The sequence below is a fragment of the Homo sapiens genome, chromosome 18 (genome assembly GCF_000001405.40).
Source record: "Homo sapiens chromosome 18, GRCh38.p14 Primary Assembly".
NCBI lineage: Eukaryota > Metazoa > Chordata > Mammalia > Primates > Hominidae > Homo > Homo sapiens.
In genome coordinates this window covers 37,515,672-37,536,464 of record NC_000018.10, presented here as the reverse complement: position 1 = coordinate 37,536,464, position 20,793 = coordinate 37,515,672, and the positions used below count along the sequence as shown (strand labels likewise).

Sequence of the window (20,793 nt, the reverse complement as noted above, 5' to 3'; positions counted from 1 at the left end):
AAGATGGCTGTTGCTCAGGAAGTTCCCTTTTAGGAGGGAGTGGGGGAGACAGGAAAGTACAAAGAAGAGAGTCAGACTCTAGAGAAGAAAGAGTTTCCAGTCCTTCAGGTTCCAATGCACCATTCGCCCTAACACCTGTCCCTTGGGACTCTGAAGACCACAAGCCTTACCCCACAACCATTCTGGCCTGTGCAGTTCTCAGCTTTCCCTGGAAAAGCCTGTTTGCCACCCCACCCCTCCCATCACCCCTCCAGGGAGTATCCTCCCACCTCCCCTCATTGCTCCAAACAGCTGTGATTCAGAGAGCGTCATTTCCAGGGAAACCAACAACAACAAAAAAATGTCCAGGCGTCAGGGGAAATTTCAACCACAATGCAAGTGGTTCCAGAGGAGCATTGATGACACCCAGGATGCAACTTGGGCTCCCAGCACTGTCAGCACCATCCTCAGAGGAAGAGACATAAACAGGACATATGTGCAGGGGCGTGGGGAGGGAGATGGATGTTCCCCAAAAACAGGAATTAAAGTTTTCAATAACATTTGTTGTTCAGCCACAAGGCCCTCGAGACTAGAGGAACCCAAAAAGAGACCAGGAAAGGTTAGCAAGGTCCTTTTTACCAGGAAGTGAATCGTGTTCTCTCTCGCTGCGTGGCCAGTGTGGATCCAAGTAGGGATCTCCACACTGTGATGGCAGGGCTCACCTGAGCATGCTCCTCTGTGGCCTGGCCTCCTGGTGGCCGCCCCTTTCCCCAGGGGTGCTCAGGGCTGGCTTGAATCCCGTGTTCAGAACGTGGCTGCTTACTATCCCTTCGGAGCTCACAGTACATATAAACGCTCTTAAGTAATACACGTGTATTACCTAACGGCCCACATGTGCACACAGGGGAGCGTGTACCATGTCAAGTGATGGGTTACGTGAACTCTTCCTGCTACTCTCATGATCACTGTAGACTAATATGATAAAGGTGGCTCCTGAATTTTGCCATATAGATCTCAGAGTTGTGTGGGGACTGGGAGCTGCTCGGAAAGTCTGCAACTTCGGATCCCTGGGCCACTGCTCTTTGAAACAGGAGCAATTGTCTTCAGAATTTGTTCCGTACAATGAATTCAGTCTTATTTTAACATTTTGAAAAGACTGACTAGGAAAAACAACAAAAAGACAATAAATAACGCCAATAAGGTATGTACTGTCATGTAGATTTTAATCTAAAGAGTCAGATTCCACCTGGTCCAAATCATACAGAGGCATTATTTTTAATTCCAGAATCACCAATTAGCTAATCCTCCATAGTCAGGGAGGATTTCCAGCATGGTGTTCTATTGTTGGAGAAGACCTGGGTGCAGGGAGGCCCACCTCCCATCCGAGGCCACACGGCAGCCAGGTGCCTAGGACTAGCCATGCCTTCAGACAGCTTCAAGGGTGAGGAAATGAGTACAGAGGACAGCTTTCCGTCAGCCTGCCATGTAGACATCGCAAGCCTTTGGGACATGGCACCTCAGTTTCTCTTGCTTCTACTGGCAGCATCAGGGTTCCACGACCTGGAACAGTGCTGTGCAGCCCCAGCCCCTGCTCGCTTTCAGAAGGGGTTCTGTAAACACCCGGCTCTGTGAGGCATGTCACCTCTTCTCTAAGGCTGAAACCGACCAGACAATAGGCCAGAGCAGGAAGTGTCTGCATTCATACCCAGTCCTCTGCCTTCCCTCCCTTCTCTTCCCCTCCCTCTCTTCCCCTCTGGCCCTGGGGATGTATTTTGCATCCTTTAAATGATCTTGTTTATTCTATGTGTCGGAATATAGTTATCTGAATATTAATTATGGCTTTAGTGAAGTTCGTCGGTTGAATGCAGGAATTGAGAATTCCTCCTTCACTTTTAGCCACCTGCTTTGATTTCTCTGTTTATCTGCTTGACTGAGCTGAAATCAGTTTCTGTAAGTGAAAGTCGGCTGCTTGGAGCAGATGTTAATGCTCAGAAATAGTGTACGGTCTGCTATTAGCATAAGTAGCATGATGCTAATAAATAGAGGTGTGCAGGGCTAGTGCAGTGGTGCCGGTGGGGACCGAGGGACAGCGGCCTGCCCAGTGACAGAGCCCATGCCCCACCCAGAGGAAGAGGGAGAGCCCCAGCCTGGGTGCTGGACACCTTCTGCCCAAGCCAGCCCTGCCCTTCCCCCTCCCCAGCACCCAGTATGCAGCCAGCTAGGGGCCGATGATTAATGACGGCGAGGACTGTAACCAAATTGTAGTGCCATTAGCACCAAGTCACAACTGACAACTAGATACATCATCTCTGAGGTTTCTATCCAGCTAACTAATTTAACTATGTGAATACGGGAAACGCCGCTCTGATGCCATAAGGCAAATATTGCCAATACCCAGGAGCCTGTCAGTAAGGAATGAGAGACGGGGAATCCATCGGGGCCCAGCGGCCAGGTCCACAGTCCTGGCTGGGTCAGCAGATCTGTCTTCACAGCATTTGCGCTTCAAGGCTCTGGAATAACTCCACCATACACCACAAGGAGCCAGGATCCAATAATCCGCCGAACCAAGCCCCCGACTCCAGGACCACCCCACTGCTTTCCCCTGACGTGGAGATGACAAGGTTTCCTTCCAAGTCAGAGAAGGACAGATTTGGTCACGGCAATGCCTTTCTCCCCATCCCCCGAATTTCTCCCCATCTCTGCAGCTCCCCACTTTCTCCAGGAGAGGGACATGCAGGAGCTCTGATGATATACAGGTGGGCCTCCATTCTCACAGTAGCTGCTCCCGAAATAGTGAATGCAAATTGTTATTATCTTCTTTTTTGTCATTTTACAATGAATCTTATTTGAAATGTGCTGTGTTTGCTCACCAGAAGAGCCTTATAAGGGATCCTTTTAGAAATAAAAGAATCCTTCTGCCATGTGAATAGTTGCCCTTTAATTCATCTGCTTTATGAGCTTGGGGGCTCCACATGGCCATGTTCTTAAGCCAGCCCCTGAATTACCAGGTGATTTATTCTCTGAATCAGAAGGGCCCCCACTCAAATCACCCCCCTGCTGTATGGGCCAATTGCTGGGGAGGTTGAGGGGCCAAGACATTGACTCCATGTTAGAAACTCCGGATTCCCAAATTTCTCACCTGCCGTAGTGGAGGCAAAAGAGAGTCTAATAGGTTCTGTGTGGCTCAGCAAATCCAGTCTCCTCTCTGGGGTTCCCTACTCACACTCAGGGAAATGAGGACAAGCTCGTGGGATAATGTCTGTGAACCAAGACAGGAAAACTCAAAGCTCTCCAGCAATGGAAGGAGACATTCGTGCGTAAGCAGCCGTGTACCCGCAGCCACGTGCCTGGCTGAAACTCAAGGGCATGGTATCTGGAGTGGCTGGGCCAGCTTGCTGGAAGGCTGCGTTCTGGAAGTGGCCGCCCACGCCAGTAAGCTCAGAAGACAGTAATGGCAACAACCCAGATAATTCTGGGAAATTTAGCTTCCATGAGAGATATCCAGATAATGGAGATGGGAAGAAAGACTTTGGTGCCTGAATAATTGTCCAGCACCCCTCTTTCCAGGGCAGCCACTTAGACAAGAACTTTAGGTCACTGACAGTTACCTAAATAGATAATCCATGCCTCATGTAAAGAGCACTTTCTCCTTGGAGAGGTTCTCTCTTCTCTTTTCTTTTGTGTAAAATTTGCAACTGCCTTATAAGTGCAGGAATTATTATCCCACTTGGCAGATGAGAAAACTGAGTTTCCATATATGTTGAATACGGGGCTGTTACTTCTATAGACAACATGCTAGGTTTATTTTTGTCAGAAAATTAACACCATGTCACCTGACCTTTTTTTTTTTTAATTTTCTACTTTGTCTTCCAGAACATAAAAAGTCAAATCCCTCACCCAAGTGTTCTAATCTGTTTCTCTCAGGTGCCTGAAAGCATATATTTCCTGTTTCCCTCAAAGAGGCTATCATCATTTCTCTTAAATGTCTGGTCTTTCATCTGAATGCTGTTTCAGATGTTAATGGGGTACAGCCTCCCCAAAAGATAGCATCCATCCCTCCATCTGTTATTCCACAAACCCTGGGTGAGGGTTACAAAGGTGACTGAGATGCAGTCCCTGCCCTCCAAATGCCTACAAAGAAATAAAGTACAAAGCCGTATTTCCCCAAACTGCCACAGGAACACGCATTCAAAGTGCCGGGATGTTCAGAAGAAGAAAGGCTGTCTCCTGAGGGGCTGACTTGGGGAGCTGCTGCACGGGGTGTCCTTCGATCTTGGCCTTGATGAATGGATATGATTGTGAAATGCAAAGATCAGCAGAAGTGCCCTCTGCAAGGAGAAAGCAATTTGAGTAACAGCAGAGAGGTGCTAGGGAAACAGTGCAGGACCAGGTAGGCCAGTGGAGGACCCCCAGTGGACATGGTGGAAGGGGAGCTAGCATGAATCATCAAGTGTCTGGACCCAAGGCCAAGTAATGTGCGCCATAGGCGATGGACAGGGACACACACTCATGCCCTTCCTTGAGAAGATTTCTCAGCATTAACAGACCAGAGATTGAGACCAGAGTTAACAGGTAGATCCTGTTGGAGGGGCAGGGAAGGGCCACAGTGACCAAAGCAGACCAGTGCCCTGCCCTCTCACTGCCCTGCACCCAAGGACCCTAACTGCACCCGGATCTCAGGGTGCTAGAGGTCTGGTCCCCTCATGCTCAGCTGCATCCTACATCCTGAAAACCATGATGGAACGGCCCCTCTATCCTAGCACAGGACGGTGCCACTTCCATGATGGAAATCCTCCATTCCCAAACTTCTCACCTCCAAAGACACTATTGGTTCCACCCACCCCACCCCACTCTCAAGTCCTTTACTTTCTTAAAGGTTTTGCCGTTAAAACAAACTGCTGTTATTAAATAAATAATTGATTTCCTTCCCCATTTTTTATTAATCAAAGGCTAATCAGAGCTGCAGATCGGCATGCGGCAACCAGTGTTAGCCACACGGAGTGGATATAATTCTTGCTAAAAGCAGCGAGGTGCTATTTTTGTTTTCCCCGTGCAGCCTCATCAAGGGGACATGTGCAATTTCCATTAGGCTATGTGAAGCATCGAGAAAGAGCTGGGACTCTGGGACTCCAGGGCGGCAAGCTCAGCTAAACTGTCCACACCCTCAAGGGACCTTGGGGGGCTGCAAAGAAGCAGTATGAGGACCAGTTTCCTGCTCAGTGAGGAGTAGCTGGAGGGGGGCCCCAGCTGAGGCTGGAACCTGGGATAGAAGGGTCTCCCAGTACCTGTGGAGGTTGTCAGGACAGGCAGCCCTGGCCTCAGAGGGCTGCTCTGGGCAACGATTCAAGCTGAACCTTGTCCTGGCCTGAGGCTGAGGATCCCCAGAGCCACCGACAAGCCTGTGACCTCACCCCATCTTGCTCTTCCACGGGTGACCCCCACCCCAGCTCCTGCCTCAGCAGATAAGACACCTGCTTACCCCACCCCTCCCTCACCTGTGCTACTCCCTAGCTTAAAGATACTACTGGCAGCATCAGGGTTCCACGACCTGGACCAGATTCTTATCAGTCCTTTTTTTTTTTTTCTAATCCTGCTGACTTTTTCCTTCCTTTCTCTCTCCGTCTTTCTCTCTCTCTCTCTCTGTACTTATTGATCCCAAACGAGGAAAAAGTCTATTAATCCTAAACCCAGAGAAGATTAGAGATAGGGCCGAAAGGGCTTGTCAGGACAGAGCCGCACGGGCGTTATCTCCTAGGAAGGTGACCAGGTCACCACCAGGAGGAGGAAGGGGAACAAAGGAAAGGAAGAGAAAGTGAAACAAAAAGTGGCCACCCCAGAAAGCAAATGTGACCCCTACCCCATCGGACTGAGGGGAGCTATCCAGTCCCAGCTTTGTGCACACCTCCTGATTTGGGAGATGGAAGCTGGGGTGGCAGGGGGTAGGGGGAGTGGGGAAATACAATGATGATTATAACCCACCCCCATTCTTAAAGTGTCTTGCTGGGCAGGCAGCAGCTGGTGGATTTGCTTCTCCCCTAGGGCCACAGAGACTTTGGCTCTTGCTTGGAGTCACCCACAGTCAAGAAAAGCACGGGGTGATGGCATGGTCCTATACAATGTGGAGCAGCCTACTCTGACTGCTGAAGCCAGATGACCCACCAGAGACCTTACACAAGTTCCTTAGCCTCTCTCTGCCTCAGTTTCCTCCCCCGTAAAATGGACACAATCATTGCAAAAGCCTGATAGAGTTGTGGTGAGAATTAAATGAAATCACCTGTATGAAGAACCTGTGTACATGTCAGTCTTATTATGAATAAATACTTTTTATTATACTTTCACCCGAAGTGCAGGAAGGCTGGACTGTGGCCGGAAGAGAGTCTGACTGGCTGTCATCTCTGCAGGATGGCGTGGGTAGTGCAGTCTCTAGGGACAATACAAAAGTTCAGCAGTGCTCCAACGCTGATGTAACCAAAGTGTCTGGTTCTGTGCAGTGGCCATTGTCCATTCTGTGAGTGGAGGTGGTTTTGTGTGCAAAACAATCCAAGGACCATTCACAGTAGCCCCTCAGGACCAAACTTGCAGGTCTCAGCCCTTCTGGGTATTGCTCTGCATAGAATCAGAATGTCTGTGGGTGAAGTCCAGGCACGTACATTTTTCAGGGAGATATACGGAGGCCAAGGAAAGTCACATTCCAGTCCAAGCTCCAGTGGCTGTTGAGTGGTAGCTGGTTGCTGATACCCCCTGGGAATAGAACTCAGGTTCCTGCCCCCCTACCAGCACCACATCACACTTTCCCTCAAAAAATTCCTCCCTGGCTTGTCTAGAAGTCTGCCAGTTGCTTGCAAAGCAAATCCAAAACTGTCAGCTCCCCTTGGCTGTAGGAAGGCCAGGCAGCAGACTCTCTCCCCTATTGGAGCTTCCTTTCCTACTGCCAGTCCCCCAGCCTCTGTTCCACCCACCAGTTTCCTCCATTTGGGAGCTGGTGCTGAGCTATTGGATGTGCCCTGGTTTGCCTGCTCCTCCGTGAGCTCCCTCATGCAGTGGGTGTGGTATGCTACGTCGCGCCAGACCTGAGCTCCTTGAGGTCAGAGACAGTGTCGTAAGCACCTCGACCCATGCAGTCTGGGTCAGAGCACTGGACAGATAGTGTGCCTTTGTGTGCTGCTCACCAGGCTCACCTCTCACCTCTCAGGCCCTGAGCAGAGGCCCATTGGATCAGAGGAAGAAGTCCAGGTTACCCATCCAAGCACTTCCTGAGGACCAGATACATGTATGATCTCATCTATTTCTCCCACAGATGCAAGGAGGCTGGTACTATCATCATCCTCATTTTACAGATGAGGACACCGAGGCACAGAGCACCTGAGCGACTTGCCCAGTAAATCCCCAATTTGAGACCCTGGTTCTTAATCCTTTAGTACCCACCTCCACCTGGGTCATCCTACCCTAGAGCCTCCATCCTCTGGGAAAGTAGCAATTTGGGGTAAAAAAATAATAATAAAGGAATGAGCTAAGAGTAGATGGTTTGTTTGCTGTCTATTACCTACTTGAAATTATGACAATTAGCCTCCAAGTTACCAATTTACAGAAGAATAACAGCAAAAAAGGATACTGCTGGTACCTCCACCTGGTACAGTGGAGGAAAATGCTGCTGAACTAGGAGACTGTGGTGTTGAGGTTTTTCAATTATTAGTATTGTTACTACAAAAATAATACATGCAGTCAGTAACACGTGCAAAGGGGTATACAGTGAAGTGTGATTCTCCCTCCCACTCGAGACCCCATCCCAGTCTCCAGAAGGTGCAGTTTCCTGTGTATTCTTCTAGAAATATCTCACGTACAGACACACACAAACACACCCACACACACTTTCTGTTGTGGAAACTGGAATGTGCTCCCCGCACTGCCATGCACCTTGATTCCTGGCTTTGCAACATATCTTGGATCTTTCCAAATCAGCATGTACATAAATCTACTTCATTCCATTTAGTAGCTGCATAGTATTGCATTGTCGAGAAATTCACTAATTGCCATAGCCAGACCCCCCACCGATAAGACATTTAGGTTGCTCCTGGTTTTGTGTCTTCTTTTATTACAAACCACACACAGTCAATATCTCCGTGAGCATCCACTGCATACATGTATAATTCTACCTATAGAATACACTCTTGTAAGGAAAATTACTTCAACAGATGTAAGCATTCTACATTTTGATTGATATTTGGCTCCAGAGAGACTGCACCAATTTAAGCTCCCATTAAATTTTCTTTGTTGGATTTTCTGTTTCCTCAAACTCCTTACTCACATTATGTATTATCAGAAAATGCTTAATATTTGCCAGGATGTGAGTTTCCAATTTTCCCCTGATATTAGCTAGCTGTAAGGCCTTGAACAAGTCACTTTGCTCTCAGGGCCTCAGTTTCCTCACCTGCAAACTGAAGGTCAGGAACCTTTTTAGCTCTACTGTCTGTGATTTTAAGTATCTACCAAGTGTCTGCAGGTGTTAAAACTGTGCTAGGAACCATGAGTTCTCCTAGCCTAAAAGAACTTAAAATCTGGTTGGAGAGCTAGAACATACCCAGAGAAAATGTAAGGAGCAACTTGGGACAGCCTGAAATCAAATGCAGTGCAGCTTAGTCTGTGGGCCTATAGAAGGTCAGGGGAAAGTGATCAAAGGCCCAGTGGCCAGGGCTGTCATTGGAGGAGGTAAAGCATGTGTGGAAAAAGGAGGAAAATGCACAGAGGGGGTTGACTGGAAATGAAAAGAGGAAACATCTTTATCCCACCCCGCAGCCAGAGCCTGGAAAGCCAGCCTGCATTCTCTCCCCAAATCACCCCACAGACTGCTTGTTTTCTCACCACTGACTGAAACCAAGTGAAACATCAGGTTTGTCTCAGAGCATGGTTTGATGTTCCGGTTCAATGAGGATCAGCTCTTGTCCCAGCAGCTTCACTAAGTAGAGTTCTTTGTGGAAACATCAGTTCAGTTTACTATTCTGGAGGGGGTGGGGAGTTTACTACACGTAAACCTTGATTACCCCAACTTCTTGGAAAATGGAGGGTTCTAATTAATTTAGTTTTCTGAGTAATAGAGGGCACAAAGGGTTTGGGGGTTCAGTTTATTCCAAGAATAACTTTAGAGGCTCGAGCTCCTCTCCTGCTTGGGTCCGTCTGGGCTGGTGACCCTTCTCTAGTGCTGGATCCAAACTCACGGCCAGCACTTCTCAGGTCAGTTCTATGGTGGCTAAGTTGATATCAGGGAGTGCGGCTGGTATTTTTGGCTTCTGGTGGGCTCTACAAAGCACAGGGCTTGCTGTTTTCTTCTTGATCATTGTGCTCATTTGCAGGCGATTTAGCTTATATTCTTGCAAAGGGGATGGGGGCAATGGGAAAACCATTGCATAGGTTGAGGGTTCTGCTAAATTGATGTTATGTTATTTGGGGCTTACGTAAATAAATGGCATTAGCCACGGTTTGTTACAGCTGCAGAGGCTCCTGGTCTACTGCCCATTTTATAGATAAGGCAACTGAGGCCCGGACATGTCGGGTGGCTTGTTTCAGAGCTCTCAGAGAATCGGTGTGGTGACCATACCTTGCAAATCGAGTTTTCATAATGGACAGGTTACGTGACTTACCCAAGGTCCCACAGCCCACGAAGGGCAGAGTTGGGATTCAAACTAGGCCCAGTTGACACCAAAGCTTCTCCCAAGAAGTTCCCAGAAGTTCCCAGAAAGTGCAGGGACCCCTTTCTTCCTGCCCTTTGGAATACCTTTGTCAAGAAGGACGTCCAGAGTTTGCATTTTAAACCTAACATGATCCTGAGGCAGGTTGTGGTATGACAGGAGCTTCTCTGCAGCAAGCTGCCTTCAACGGTTCCATTAAAACATCATTCTTATAGCATTATCCTACTTTGACACAGGTGGCTCTACCCCAGGTCACCCACCTCCCAAGCGCTGAGTAGTACTCACTAGGGGAAACTTGAAAATCTAATACCTTTCTGGCCCCTATAGGACAGAAATAGGAAGTCACTAGGAAAGAAGGGGAAGAAGAGGAAGTCACTAGGGAAATCAGAAAATACCTTGAGACAAATGAAAATGAAAACACAACATACCAAACCTTATGGGATGCAGCAAAAGAAGTACTAAATAAGTTCATAGCAGTTTGCATTGACATGCTTACTCACAGCCACGCAAATGCAGGTCACCTCTCCAAACACAATTTTTGTCTCCTTTAAGGGTTGCTTGTGGGTTGAAAGAAAATGCATCCTCTAACACCCTTATGGGATGCCTCACACTGAGACCAGGAAATCGTCCCAGCCTTGGCCCTGCTACCATCTGGCCATGTGACATTTCTTTGCTGCTGTTCCTCCAGAGGTAAAAAGATACAATAATTTCCACCCCACCTACCTTCCTGAACTGCAGGGATAATTGAGGTCAGTGGTGCTCAAACTTCAGTGTGCCTCAGAATGCCCTGAAGTTCTCGTTAAACACAGTTGGCTGAACCCCACCCCAGAGTTTCTGATTCCGAAGGGAGGTAAGGAATGTTTAAGAATTTGCATTTCTAATAGATGCCTAGGTGATGCCCACAGAGTCCTCCTACAGGTCGCGGCCACACTTTTGAGAATCATTCCTCTATGAGACTGTGAACAAGGGATCTTGTGAAAGGGGTTTTTAATAATTATTTTCGATTTTGTAAAATGCAGGATCCTTCTTTAAAGGGAGAAAGTACCATTTCCTCCCTTCAGCATAATGTCTGATCAATGTAAATGTTCATGAATCCCATTCTCTTGTCATGGAAGTTTGAGGAAATACTGTAGACCCATCAGCCAGTCACCAAGGAACCCTAACAGTCTTTTCCTTCCCGCCCCTCCCCACCCCTCCCTCCCCTAAGAAAGGTCAGCTCTAGAAAGCAGAAGATTGTCCCCGAGAAATGTGAAAATATTTGCTCAAGTTCACAACCTGCTTGCCCTACACCCTACAGCGCAAACCTAGCCACAGACACAGAACCCAAACCTATGCAGACATGCCGGGCAGCTTCCACTCCCCTCCCCACAACCCAGAAGGCCACCCCGAAGGGCGCCAGGAGCACCGCTGGCTCCCAGTCTAGGCGTGGCCATGCCTCTTCTAACACGGGGCTATTGTCTGGAGTTAGAAGGCAACACATTAAAGATGGAAAGGATTCCCAGAAGTCATTAACCCCAAATAAGAAGGGCCTCTTGTTGGTTCCTGCTGGTGAAGACAGGTGTGAAAGGGCAGGGCCTCTGAAGAGAGCGACAGGCCACCGTCCCTCCAGCCGGGCCAGCGCAGTGCCATCCTCAGAGGGCGTCCAGGGGATAGGGAACCGGAGCCACCCTGTGGCCAGCTTAAGAGGAAGGGAAGAAAGGGGGAGGCACAAAAAGGGATACCAGAAGGGTGGTCGGCTGGCCAAGCAAGAGGCCCCTAGGAAAGAGAGGTGGTTAACAAAGGAGAAGGGAGGAGGGCAGGCGGAGAGAGAAGAAAGGGAGGGCCGAGGGCGAGACGCTTCAGGGAGAGGAAGCGGGGCTCAAAGAGCGAAGCGGGAAACCGAGCTCGGGACTGGGGCGCAGCCGCCGCGACCCCCGCGCCCCAGCCCAGCCCGGCTGCGCCCCATTCTCCTGCTGGGCGCTGCGGTCGCTGCCGGGAGCCGCGGCCGGGGCGCGGAGGGCGTAGAGCGCAGCTGCGCACCCCAGCGGCCTGCGGCTCGGGGGATGTTCGGCTGGGGAGCAGGGGCTGTGGGCCGCTCCCTCCGCGTTCCCGCCCTTAATGGCTCGGTAATTGATTGGCCCCGCGTCTTATTTTCACCGCGGGCGGACGGCGCCAGAGGTCGGCTAATATCAATATTTCCTACGGCTGCTCCGCGGTGTGGATCTTCCCGCTCCGGGGCTGCCCCGCCGGCCGAAAATTTACCTTTGGTTTAACAAGAAGTGGGAGCTGAGTCAGGGATTAGGGCGCGTCAAGTCAACACAAATAAAAAAAGCGGGGAGGTGGGAACAGGGGAGAACATTCGTCACCGCGGGGCCATCAAGACAGCCTGGAGTTAATTGTGGGAGAGAGGAGGAGGCAAACAGAGACAGGGATTTTAAAAGACCCTGGACTCCTTATTCCTCGGGTTGGCATTCGAAGCCATCTGAAATCGGCCATTTTCCTTCTTCCACCTTGTCACCCTCATCCTACCACCCACCCGCCAGCACCAACATCACAGGCCTCTTTACAGCCTGACTGGCTTCCCTGCCTTCCCTCCCCGAGGTGGATATCTGGTCCTATTTTATTTAAGTGGCCTTTTCTCTCCAACCAGATATGACTCATTCAAGGCGGGGAGAAGAACTAACATTTATGGAGGTCTCGCTGTATGCCAGGCACTGTGCCTGGTGACAGTCAAATATTATCTCATCTAACCTCCTTGGAGGCTCCATGGGTGCGGAGCACAGTGTCTCTCTGGGATATCCACGGCACCCAGGCACCCCATGAGGCTCATACACAGAACCATCTGCTGGGAGGCAGAAAGCATGGACAAATGAGTGGTAGTGACATGCAAAGGGCAGGCGTTTTGGGGGCTCAGTGAGCCTGAGTTGCAAGAAGCCACACGCTCATTTCTCCACCACCCTCCTCCCACCTTCACCTCTGTTGACTGATTAACTGTAAACTGATAGATCAGCAGCTGTTTATTAAAGACAGTGTAGAGACTCAAGTTTCACGGAAAGGAAGGACCAGAAGGGACTGGTGGCATGAGAATTTGTGAGATAAAGGGCTGGGAAGCCTAGAAATCTCCGTAAGTGGGGCTCCTCTTAGCAGGCCATGAGGTCTCAAGCCCTCCCCAAGACCCATTCCACTCGCAGCCTGAGCTGCAGGATTTGCTGATGGGCATCCTATGATGGGCCTGAATTTCCCAGAGGCAAGCATGGGCCCGAGTTTTGCCGCCTGTTCTCCCAGCAGTGATACTCCCCCAGCAAGCCTGTCTCCCCAGCCGGGGTCACCAAACTCCTTACCCTTGGTCAGGATTACAGGCATGTGGCTCAGGGTCCCAGGGTTAGGGACACATGGCAGGTACCAGGTGCTGAAAGATGGAACTTCTTCCTTGGGCATGTCTACCCCTGGAGGGGTGGTAAGAGATGTGAAGGAATTTCCTGATATCCCAAAAGAACATCTGGGGCCTCCTGGCCCCAAGAGAGACCTGGGGGAGCATGAGAATGGATCCATGTCAACTGTCACTTTGCAAGAAATGCCCAACAAACGAGCCTCTGAAGACTTCTGGATCCATGTGGTCCCGCTGTCTGTTCCTCATCAGATATAGACTATTGGAGGGTCCCAACCAAGCCCACGTGAATGTGTGCCCAGCCGGGTGCCCAGCCAGGTGGTAAGCCCCTCAGGGAAACAGAAAGGGGGAGCATAGCCATGCCTACCCGCCCCCCTTGTGAATCTGGTTGTGGGCAACGAACGTCTCCACTGCGAAATGATCACAGAACAATGCAAGGAGGCATGACAAAGAATATGGCCCCGTGGCTCTCCACACTGGAAATGCTGCAGAGTTCAGAGACAGAAGCACTCCGAGTCAGGGGACTAATGAGGGATGGTTTCATGGGAGAGGGTGGATGGGTAGGGAAGGAGACAATGCAATGCCCAACTCTCTTGAGGCAGGCCAAACAGATGCGGAAGCCTGGGAGATTTGGTGCTGCCCCACAGGGTGGGCTCAGAGAAGAGAGAAGGAAGCCAGGGAGAAGAGCTGTGGCCCAGGGCCTCCAGCGGGCTCTGCTGCCCTGTTAGGAGGTGTGAAGGGGTGATGGGACCACTGAAGCTCGTCTCAAACAAACAACCCTGCACCCATGGAAAATTCCCCTCATTGTTTCCTCAGCTCTCCTCTCAACGTGTCTATTAATGTGACAAGGATATTGCATTTCACAGGCTCAGTTCATTGCCCCCATCTGACATGCACACGTGTGTGTGTGTGTGTGCGCGCTCACACACACAGAGCTATCCAGTCAGACCTGGCAGGGTCTCAATGGAGAGTTGACAACATTTTCCCCTTAGAGACAGTTCCTTAGTCCTAATTTCAGTCCCTCTTCCATCTCAGCTCCAGCTGGGTCCTGGGCTGGGGGCCGGGCCGCAGGGAGATGCATGGTCCCTGTCATCTGGAGCTCACATCTGGCACTGGTCAGAGGCAGAGAAGAATTCACCATGGTCACTATGCTAACTCTTAGATTCTGTATGATAAGATAGGGAGAGAGGGACAGGAAGGAGCATTGCGTGTTGCACCAGTCAGGAGGAGGTGGGACTCATTTAGAAAATAATTTAAGAGCTGTCCTTTACTGAGGCATTACTGTGTGTGCTGGGCATCTGGCTTCTGTTATCTCATTCAACCTTCGCATGTCCACCAGAAGAAAGGCACCATTTCTCCTCTCCTCTTAGACAGATGCAGAAACTGAGGCTATGGAAGGTTATGAGCAGAGGTTAGCAGGCATTCTCCACTCTTAAACTCACCGGGTGCTGAGTGACGGTAACCCGCTATAACCCGGCACGGTGGAGGTGGAGCAGACAGCAAAAGTTCCTTTGAGACTTAAGAGAAATAAAGACGGAAGCTGGATTTTTCTGTGCCTACTCAGAAGTTGCATGAGATGGTGTCCCCTGCTCTCTGTGACTGTCACTCCTCAAGCCTTCCTGCCTGCATGGCAGGATGAAGGACAGGCTTTCACAGGCAGACGGGAGAGGCCAGGGTCACCGCTGCAAAAGGCTCGCCTAGTGCTGCTCCTGCAGCCCAGACGGTTGCTCTGATCCTCTGCTGAAAATGTCACGCGGGAGACAGGCACGCTCTGATCTTCAGAGGGCCGTGGTGCATCTGTGATGACATGTGGGCATCAAGATTTGCATATTTATTATAGATAAGCTGTCAAAATGTATGTTGTCAATTTCACCTTATACTCCAGATTTAATGGTGCACGTAGAGGACAGAAAATCTTTAATATTAATATTAATATGATTTTAGATTATAAGACCGCATTGTAGATATCAATCAGCCAACCCTTAAGGACATGTCACTCAAGTTGATATAGTTTATAGAAAATTAATGTAATCCATCCTGTATGATCTATTGCAGGGGGCATGAGGAGAGAATAGAGAGTGTGGGGACTTGGGGTGGAGGGCTGGGGGACCATTATTACTTGCCACAGTTCTCCATACGTGCTAATTTGTGTTCGTGCCTGAAACATCAGAGAAGGGAATCTGCCGATCTTAGACTTGGCACGGACCTCAGAGATCAGCAGTGCCAACTCTTCCACTTTGCTGTGAGGAAACGAAGGCCCAGAGAGAGAGTGATAGGGCCACAGTCACTTGGCTAGTTGGTGGCAGGTGTGGTTGAAGGAGGCTCCAGAGCCCCCTGATATATGTCTGTCCCCCAACCCCCGATACCCTCCCCTCTCCCACATCCCATCCCCTAGGCTGTCTGGGCAGATTGCTTCTTCATCTGTTTGAAAGGATCCTGAGGGACCCCTCCCCATGCCAAGGGGTCTGGAGGGTCATGGCAATGTGAAGAGGGGCTTTCCTGATGATTGCAGAAGTGCCAGGAAAACCCCAAAGTCCCCACTGTCCATCAATCTGCATTCCAAAGCCTGAAGCCCTGGCATTGACACTCTACTGAAATCATGGACTGAACACCTACTGTGAGCATAGCAGTGTGCTAGGAACAGAAGGACAGCCCAGAAATATATGACATCATAAGACTGTCCCCTCTGGGTAAGAAGGGATAATCCCCTAAATGTCTTGGGATCTGAGTGCTCTGCCCAAGCCTTCATAGGCCTCAGGGGCTTTCAAAGTGGGCTTTTTGATTACGGGAACCAGCCAGCTAGACAGACAGCACCAGTGGCTTCTAGGCTCCCGGCTCTGCTCTCAGGCCCTGTTATCCCCCTACCCACCCTCCCACAATCAGGAAAAACACCTTTTTTCCAGAGAGCAACCCGAAGCCTGTTACCCTCTGCCAGCTGAGTCAAGCAGTAACCCAGAGATACAACTCCAAAACCTGCTCTTTGAATGGAGCAGCTATAGTGCAAAGCTTGGTCAAACAGTGCCTCTCTGGGCCTTCATTTCTACATTCATGAAATGGGGAGGAGAAGACATGCCCTATTTAACTCACGCCTTCCTGGGACCGCTCTCTGGAAAGTGCCAAGTGCACACAGCACTCTGGCCTGGTTTCTATGCCTCTGGCCTGGACCCCTGCTCCCCTGGCCAGGCCCAGGGCCCAGCACATGAACAGAGAGGAGACACTGTTCCCCAGAGCTGGGGCCAGGGGAAGGAGCAGCCTATTCTTCAGGAGTCAGGCTCAGCCAATTTAGGGGCCCCGAGCTTGGGGTGAGAGAATGCAGCCCTGGTAGCATGGGATGGCCTCCCTCATCTCTAGGCCTCCCCGCCTTGCTTGGGTAATGCAAGCTCTCAGGAAGCCCCAGTCTCCCCCAAGGAGAGGGTGGTGACGTCCTGGTGCCTAAGTGACAACAGCTACCTTCTCCCTCCCGTTTTCCCAGGTCTTAACAAGGAACCCCTTGTCTCCCACCAGTCTGCCAGTTCAGGAATCTGCCTCTGTCATTCCAGTCCCTTTTCCTGGCTCAGGCCCCCTGCCTCACTGCCTCCCAGAGGACAGGAATCAGGAAAGTCCTGGCTGGAGCAGTTCATGACCACTGGAGTTTATGTACATCCACACTGCTTATCTGAAGTAAGACAGTGCCCAGCAAGCTCCATAAATCACAGAGGTGCAGAGCATATGCGAGCCAAGGCCCAGGCCACTGAGGGGGGACGCTTGTGGCAGGGGCTCCTCAGTGACTCTCCTAATGGGCCCAGCCAGCCAGACATACTCCTCGCTGCCCACAGATCTCGGCATCTTATTTACATACTGCTGCAGACTGACGAACACCTGAAGCATTTTTCATCCTGTTCAAACTACAAAAGCCTCCTCGGGTACTTCTGTGTTAGTGCTTCCAAACAACGGCAAAATGCTGATAGGAGGAATTTTTTTTTCTTTTTTAATCTTCCACTGAAGCCTCCAAGAAAGATGACCTGCAGAAGGGGGAGGAAGGCGCAAACAAAGCCAGACAAAGTGAGGAGGGCACGCCATCCTTGAGCACACTTCTTTCTCCTGGGAGATGCAGCAAGTCGGGCAAGGGTTTCAGTCCAGAAGAGCAGTACCACCACCCACCTGGCTGGCTCAGGACCCCCCAGCTCACCCCCACACCTCTCTAGGGACAGCTTCTTCCCAGCTGCTGTTCTGGGTCATGGCTGTTAGAAATTTAAAGCTGATGAACGCAAACCAGAGTATCCAGGAAGAAATGAAAAGCAGGTGGGGTTGGAGGGGCATTCCCAGCTGTGGCCAGGCCCTTGGAGGCTGCCCATCTGTCTGTGGGCTCTCAGGACCTCCAGGTGGAAGCTCCTGGGAGACAGATCTTACTTGGTTCAATTCAAACTCAAGGATTCTTAATCTTATGCTTTCAGTCCCCTGGAGGAGGGGGCAGAATGCATGATCAGTTTTCAGAGCTTGGACAACCCCCTGTACCTATAGGCAAAATTACTTGTGCGTGCATGTGTACATAATGCATGTGCATGTATGGAGACATTTTTCTAGAATCAATGCATGTTAATGTCCATCAGATTCTTAAAGGGCAAAGAAGACACCTAAAACTGTAAGGAACCACACTGGGCCATCCCTGGAGCTGCTCAGCTGTAGAGCTGAGGGCCTCAGGAGGTAGCAGACTGCCCAGTGTGGGGCACGCTGGACTCTGCACTTAGTAAATCACACTCCAACCCCAGCAAGATTGCCTGAGGTAGGGCTTGGGGATGGGAGGGTGCTCTTCAGGCCCCAGCAGCCTTCAGGAGCCTAGGGGGCTTTGTACCCTGGGAGGGAGGCCAGAAGGACATCCAAGCTCACGGTGGCTCTGAGCACATGGGTTCTTAGAATCTCTGATTCTCTGTTCCCCCTTGCCTGCCCGGAGATTGTTTTCTCTCCCTGACTCCTGTCTGTTTATCTCTGTGTCACCAATATCTGTTTTTATGTATTTTTGAGTCCCTTTCCTTTGTTTCCTCCATTAATACTTCTCGTTCAGGGGAGGATAAACAGGGTCATAATCACGCTATAAAGCGAGCCACGGGCTGTGTGTCGCTTATTGCCCAGGGGTCTGCTAATTGGAATTTATAAAGTTCAATAAAAACTATAATCCAATAAGGGCTGAAACTCTTCTTCATTTATCTTAGGGGTAATATTACGCTTGCCCGCCCACCAGCCTGCCTGCCAGCCAGCAGTGAGAAGCCAGGGAGGAGCCACCCAAGGGGTGTCCCCTGGGGGCCACAGCATTCCCTAGAGTGACCAGCACTGTATCTCAGGCTGGGTGGCCTGGACAGAGGAAAGAGGGAGCCTTGCTGGTCAGGTCTCCCCATGGCCCAGTGCCACCCACCAGCTCTGGTGGTTGTGCTTTTGAGGCCTGAGAGGGAGGGGGACCCCCACTGTTCTAACATCATCTATTGCACCATTACAGACTTACCCCCAGTTATAGGTGCCCCCCTACCATGCAACTGCCTCACACACACCCTGAACTACACAGCCTCTGGAACACAGGTGATCTGCCACGGGGAATCCTGTGTAAGTGCAATGAATCCTAAACCTAGGATGGAAGGTGCCTCCTTCCTTGACCCTCGGAGGTCCCACAGAGGGAGGTGTCACCATGAGGTGCACGCCCCAACCAGAGCTGGAGCCATCTTTGTCACCCAGCTGTGCCTCATCGGACACCCACCAGGAGCCCTTTCCCAGACTTGACAGTGAAGGAGACAAGAGAAGGCAGGGAGAGGGTGCCACAGCCACGCTGATGAGCCATGCCCTGGAGACAGTTAGACAGGTATGTTAGACACGGGGCGACCAACTGTTCTGGTTGGCCTGGGACTGAGAGGCTTCCCACACATATGACTTTCAGTGCTAAAACCTGGACAGTGTAAGAGGAGAGTGACAGAGGGAACCATCCAAGCAGTGGGCTGAGTGGTAGGGAAGCAGACTGAGCTCAGCACCGACAGACAGCTCCTGGAGGACCCCGCCCTGCCCCTGCCCAAAAGCCACCCTGGGAACCACATCACCATATGCCAAACACCTGCTTGCAAGACACCTTGCAGTTTCCCATTACCTTCCAGAAAGCCCACACTTGAAAAGTAAAATAAATGCTCTCCAACAGGAATCTGCCTGTACCCCAGCCCCAAAAGCAAAAGCTGGCCCTTTGCTCAGACTTAGCTCTGGACATTCTCTGAGTGGGGAGAGGGGACGGGACACTCAGCCAGCCCTGTCTTCCAAGCAGGGCATGGGGAGGGAGCAACTGACCCCACAGCATTCCTGGCTCTCTCAGTGCTAAGTAGAAGGCAGAAGCCTGCAGAGCCAGTTGCCTCACCCATCCCTGTGCTTGGATGGGGCATGCATGTGCATGTGCACATATGTGAGGGCTGTGTGATACCCAGAGTTGAAGGCACGGTCCCGCAGCCTCTCAGGGCTTCCCAGTCTGCAGAGAGAGAGAACACAGGCCATGTTATTGTCCTAATGCAGCTTTTTGGGGAGGGAAATTGTGTCAAGTATTAAAATGGGGAGGAGATCCCAGCCACGTGCCCCCAGAGCTGAGCTACACAGCTAAGGAGCGCAGTTGTTGGGAGCCAGCGCCCCATGCCAGCTGTGGGGGTGAGCCACCCTCTCCAAGCCCAAGGCCCTCAGAGCCAGCTACACAAGGGAAATAGCTAAAGCCTTGGAGCCAGACCTGCCTGGGTTCTGAATTGGCTTTCTGCCACACATATGTGTTCAGCCTTGAATAAGTCATTCATGGTCTCCACATCTCAGCTTGAGGAATAATGCCATAAATTATATAAAATGCTGACCACAGTGCCTGGTCCACAGTAGTTAATTCCTGGTCCTGGTAGTTAATTCTAGCTACTATTAGGCATAATTTATATTTTGTGTGAAAGACCCCAATGGAGATAACGGTCAGTCTGTGGCCGGGGCGAGGGCTCTGTCTTCCCCAAGCTCCCTTTGCTGGCCAGGAGCCAGGCTAGTGTTGGCATGGGGACAGCAGAGTTAGTGAGGACTAGAGCTAGCAGGGCCCCTGACTTGAATTTTGGAGTCAAGAAGGAATTCCAGGAGGAAGCGATGCTTAACAGTGGTGGGATGGGTGGTCCAGGTGGACGGGAGGAGGAGCCTCCCAGCAGAGGAAACGGTGTGTGCACATGCCTACCCCAGGGCCAAGAAGGGAGCAGGGAGGAGGCCTGGTCTACCAGGGGGCAGGAAGGGATGTTGGGCTCTATGATTAGGATGATGAGAAGCCAGTAAATAATATTTTTTGCCAGAAAAAAGCAGTTTGCTATCTGAGACTGAAAAGGTCTAATACCCTAAACCCTCTGAATCCATCTACAGCCTCTCCACACCTTCACCAGACCCTCATCATCCACATTCATTCATTCATTCACTCACTCACTCACTCCACCAAAGTGCATCAAGTGCCTCCATGCACCCAGCCCAGTCTAAATGCTGGGATGCTACAATGAAGAAGGCAAGTCCTGCTTTCACCGGGATGAAGTACTCTCATCCAGCCTGGTCTCCTGCCTTTGCCCTCCACCCACTCCAGCCTTTCAGGATCTGGCCAATGTCCTCCAGCCCCTCTGCGAAGCTCCATCTGTCCTTCCCAGTCAGCACTTACTGGCTCTTCTTGGTGGAGAAATAAAAGAAGCAGGACACCATGCCCACACCCCCAGAGCTCCCCATGCCCCAGCTGGAGGGCAGCACCCTTCAGTTCACTGCTAAGGCACT

The 20,793-nt window shown here is 50.8% G+C and overlaps 1 protein-coding gene across 120 annotated transcripts in view, besides 1 other annotated feature; it reads left to right on the top strand.

Annotated features, from left to right (window-relative positions):
- Positions 1-20,793, top strand: part of CELF4 (CUGBP Elav-like family member 4) — a 322,955-nt gene that overhangs the window by 29,334 nt on the left and 272,828 nt on the right. The window contains exon 2 of one of the 120 annotated variants that reach the window (NM_001353701.2): positions 16,502-18,186. The exons of the other annotated variants lie outside the window; for them this stretch is intronic. Within the exon in view, the coding sequence (NP_001340630.1) occupies positions 16,502-17,094 (593 nt within the window). The 3' untranslated portion in view covers positions 17,095-18,186. Of the gene's footprint in view, positions 1-16,501; positions 18,187-20,793 lie in introns of those variants that run through there. 120 annotated transcript variants of the gene reach the window in all.
- Positions 2,216-2,716: an enhancer, noted in NCBI's record as "H3K4me1 hESC enhancer chr18:35113712-35114212 (GRCh37/hg19 assembly coordinates)". NCBI's record gives its function as "activates a minimal SCP1, AML or CMV promoter by ChIP-STARR-seq in naive H9 embryonic stem cells {active_cell/tissue: H9 hESC(naive)}" and the evidence as "EXISTENCE:reporter gene assay evidence [ECO:0000049][PMID:30033119]".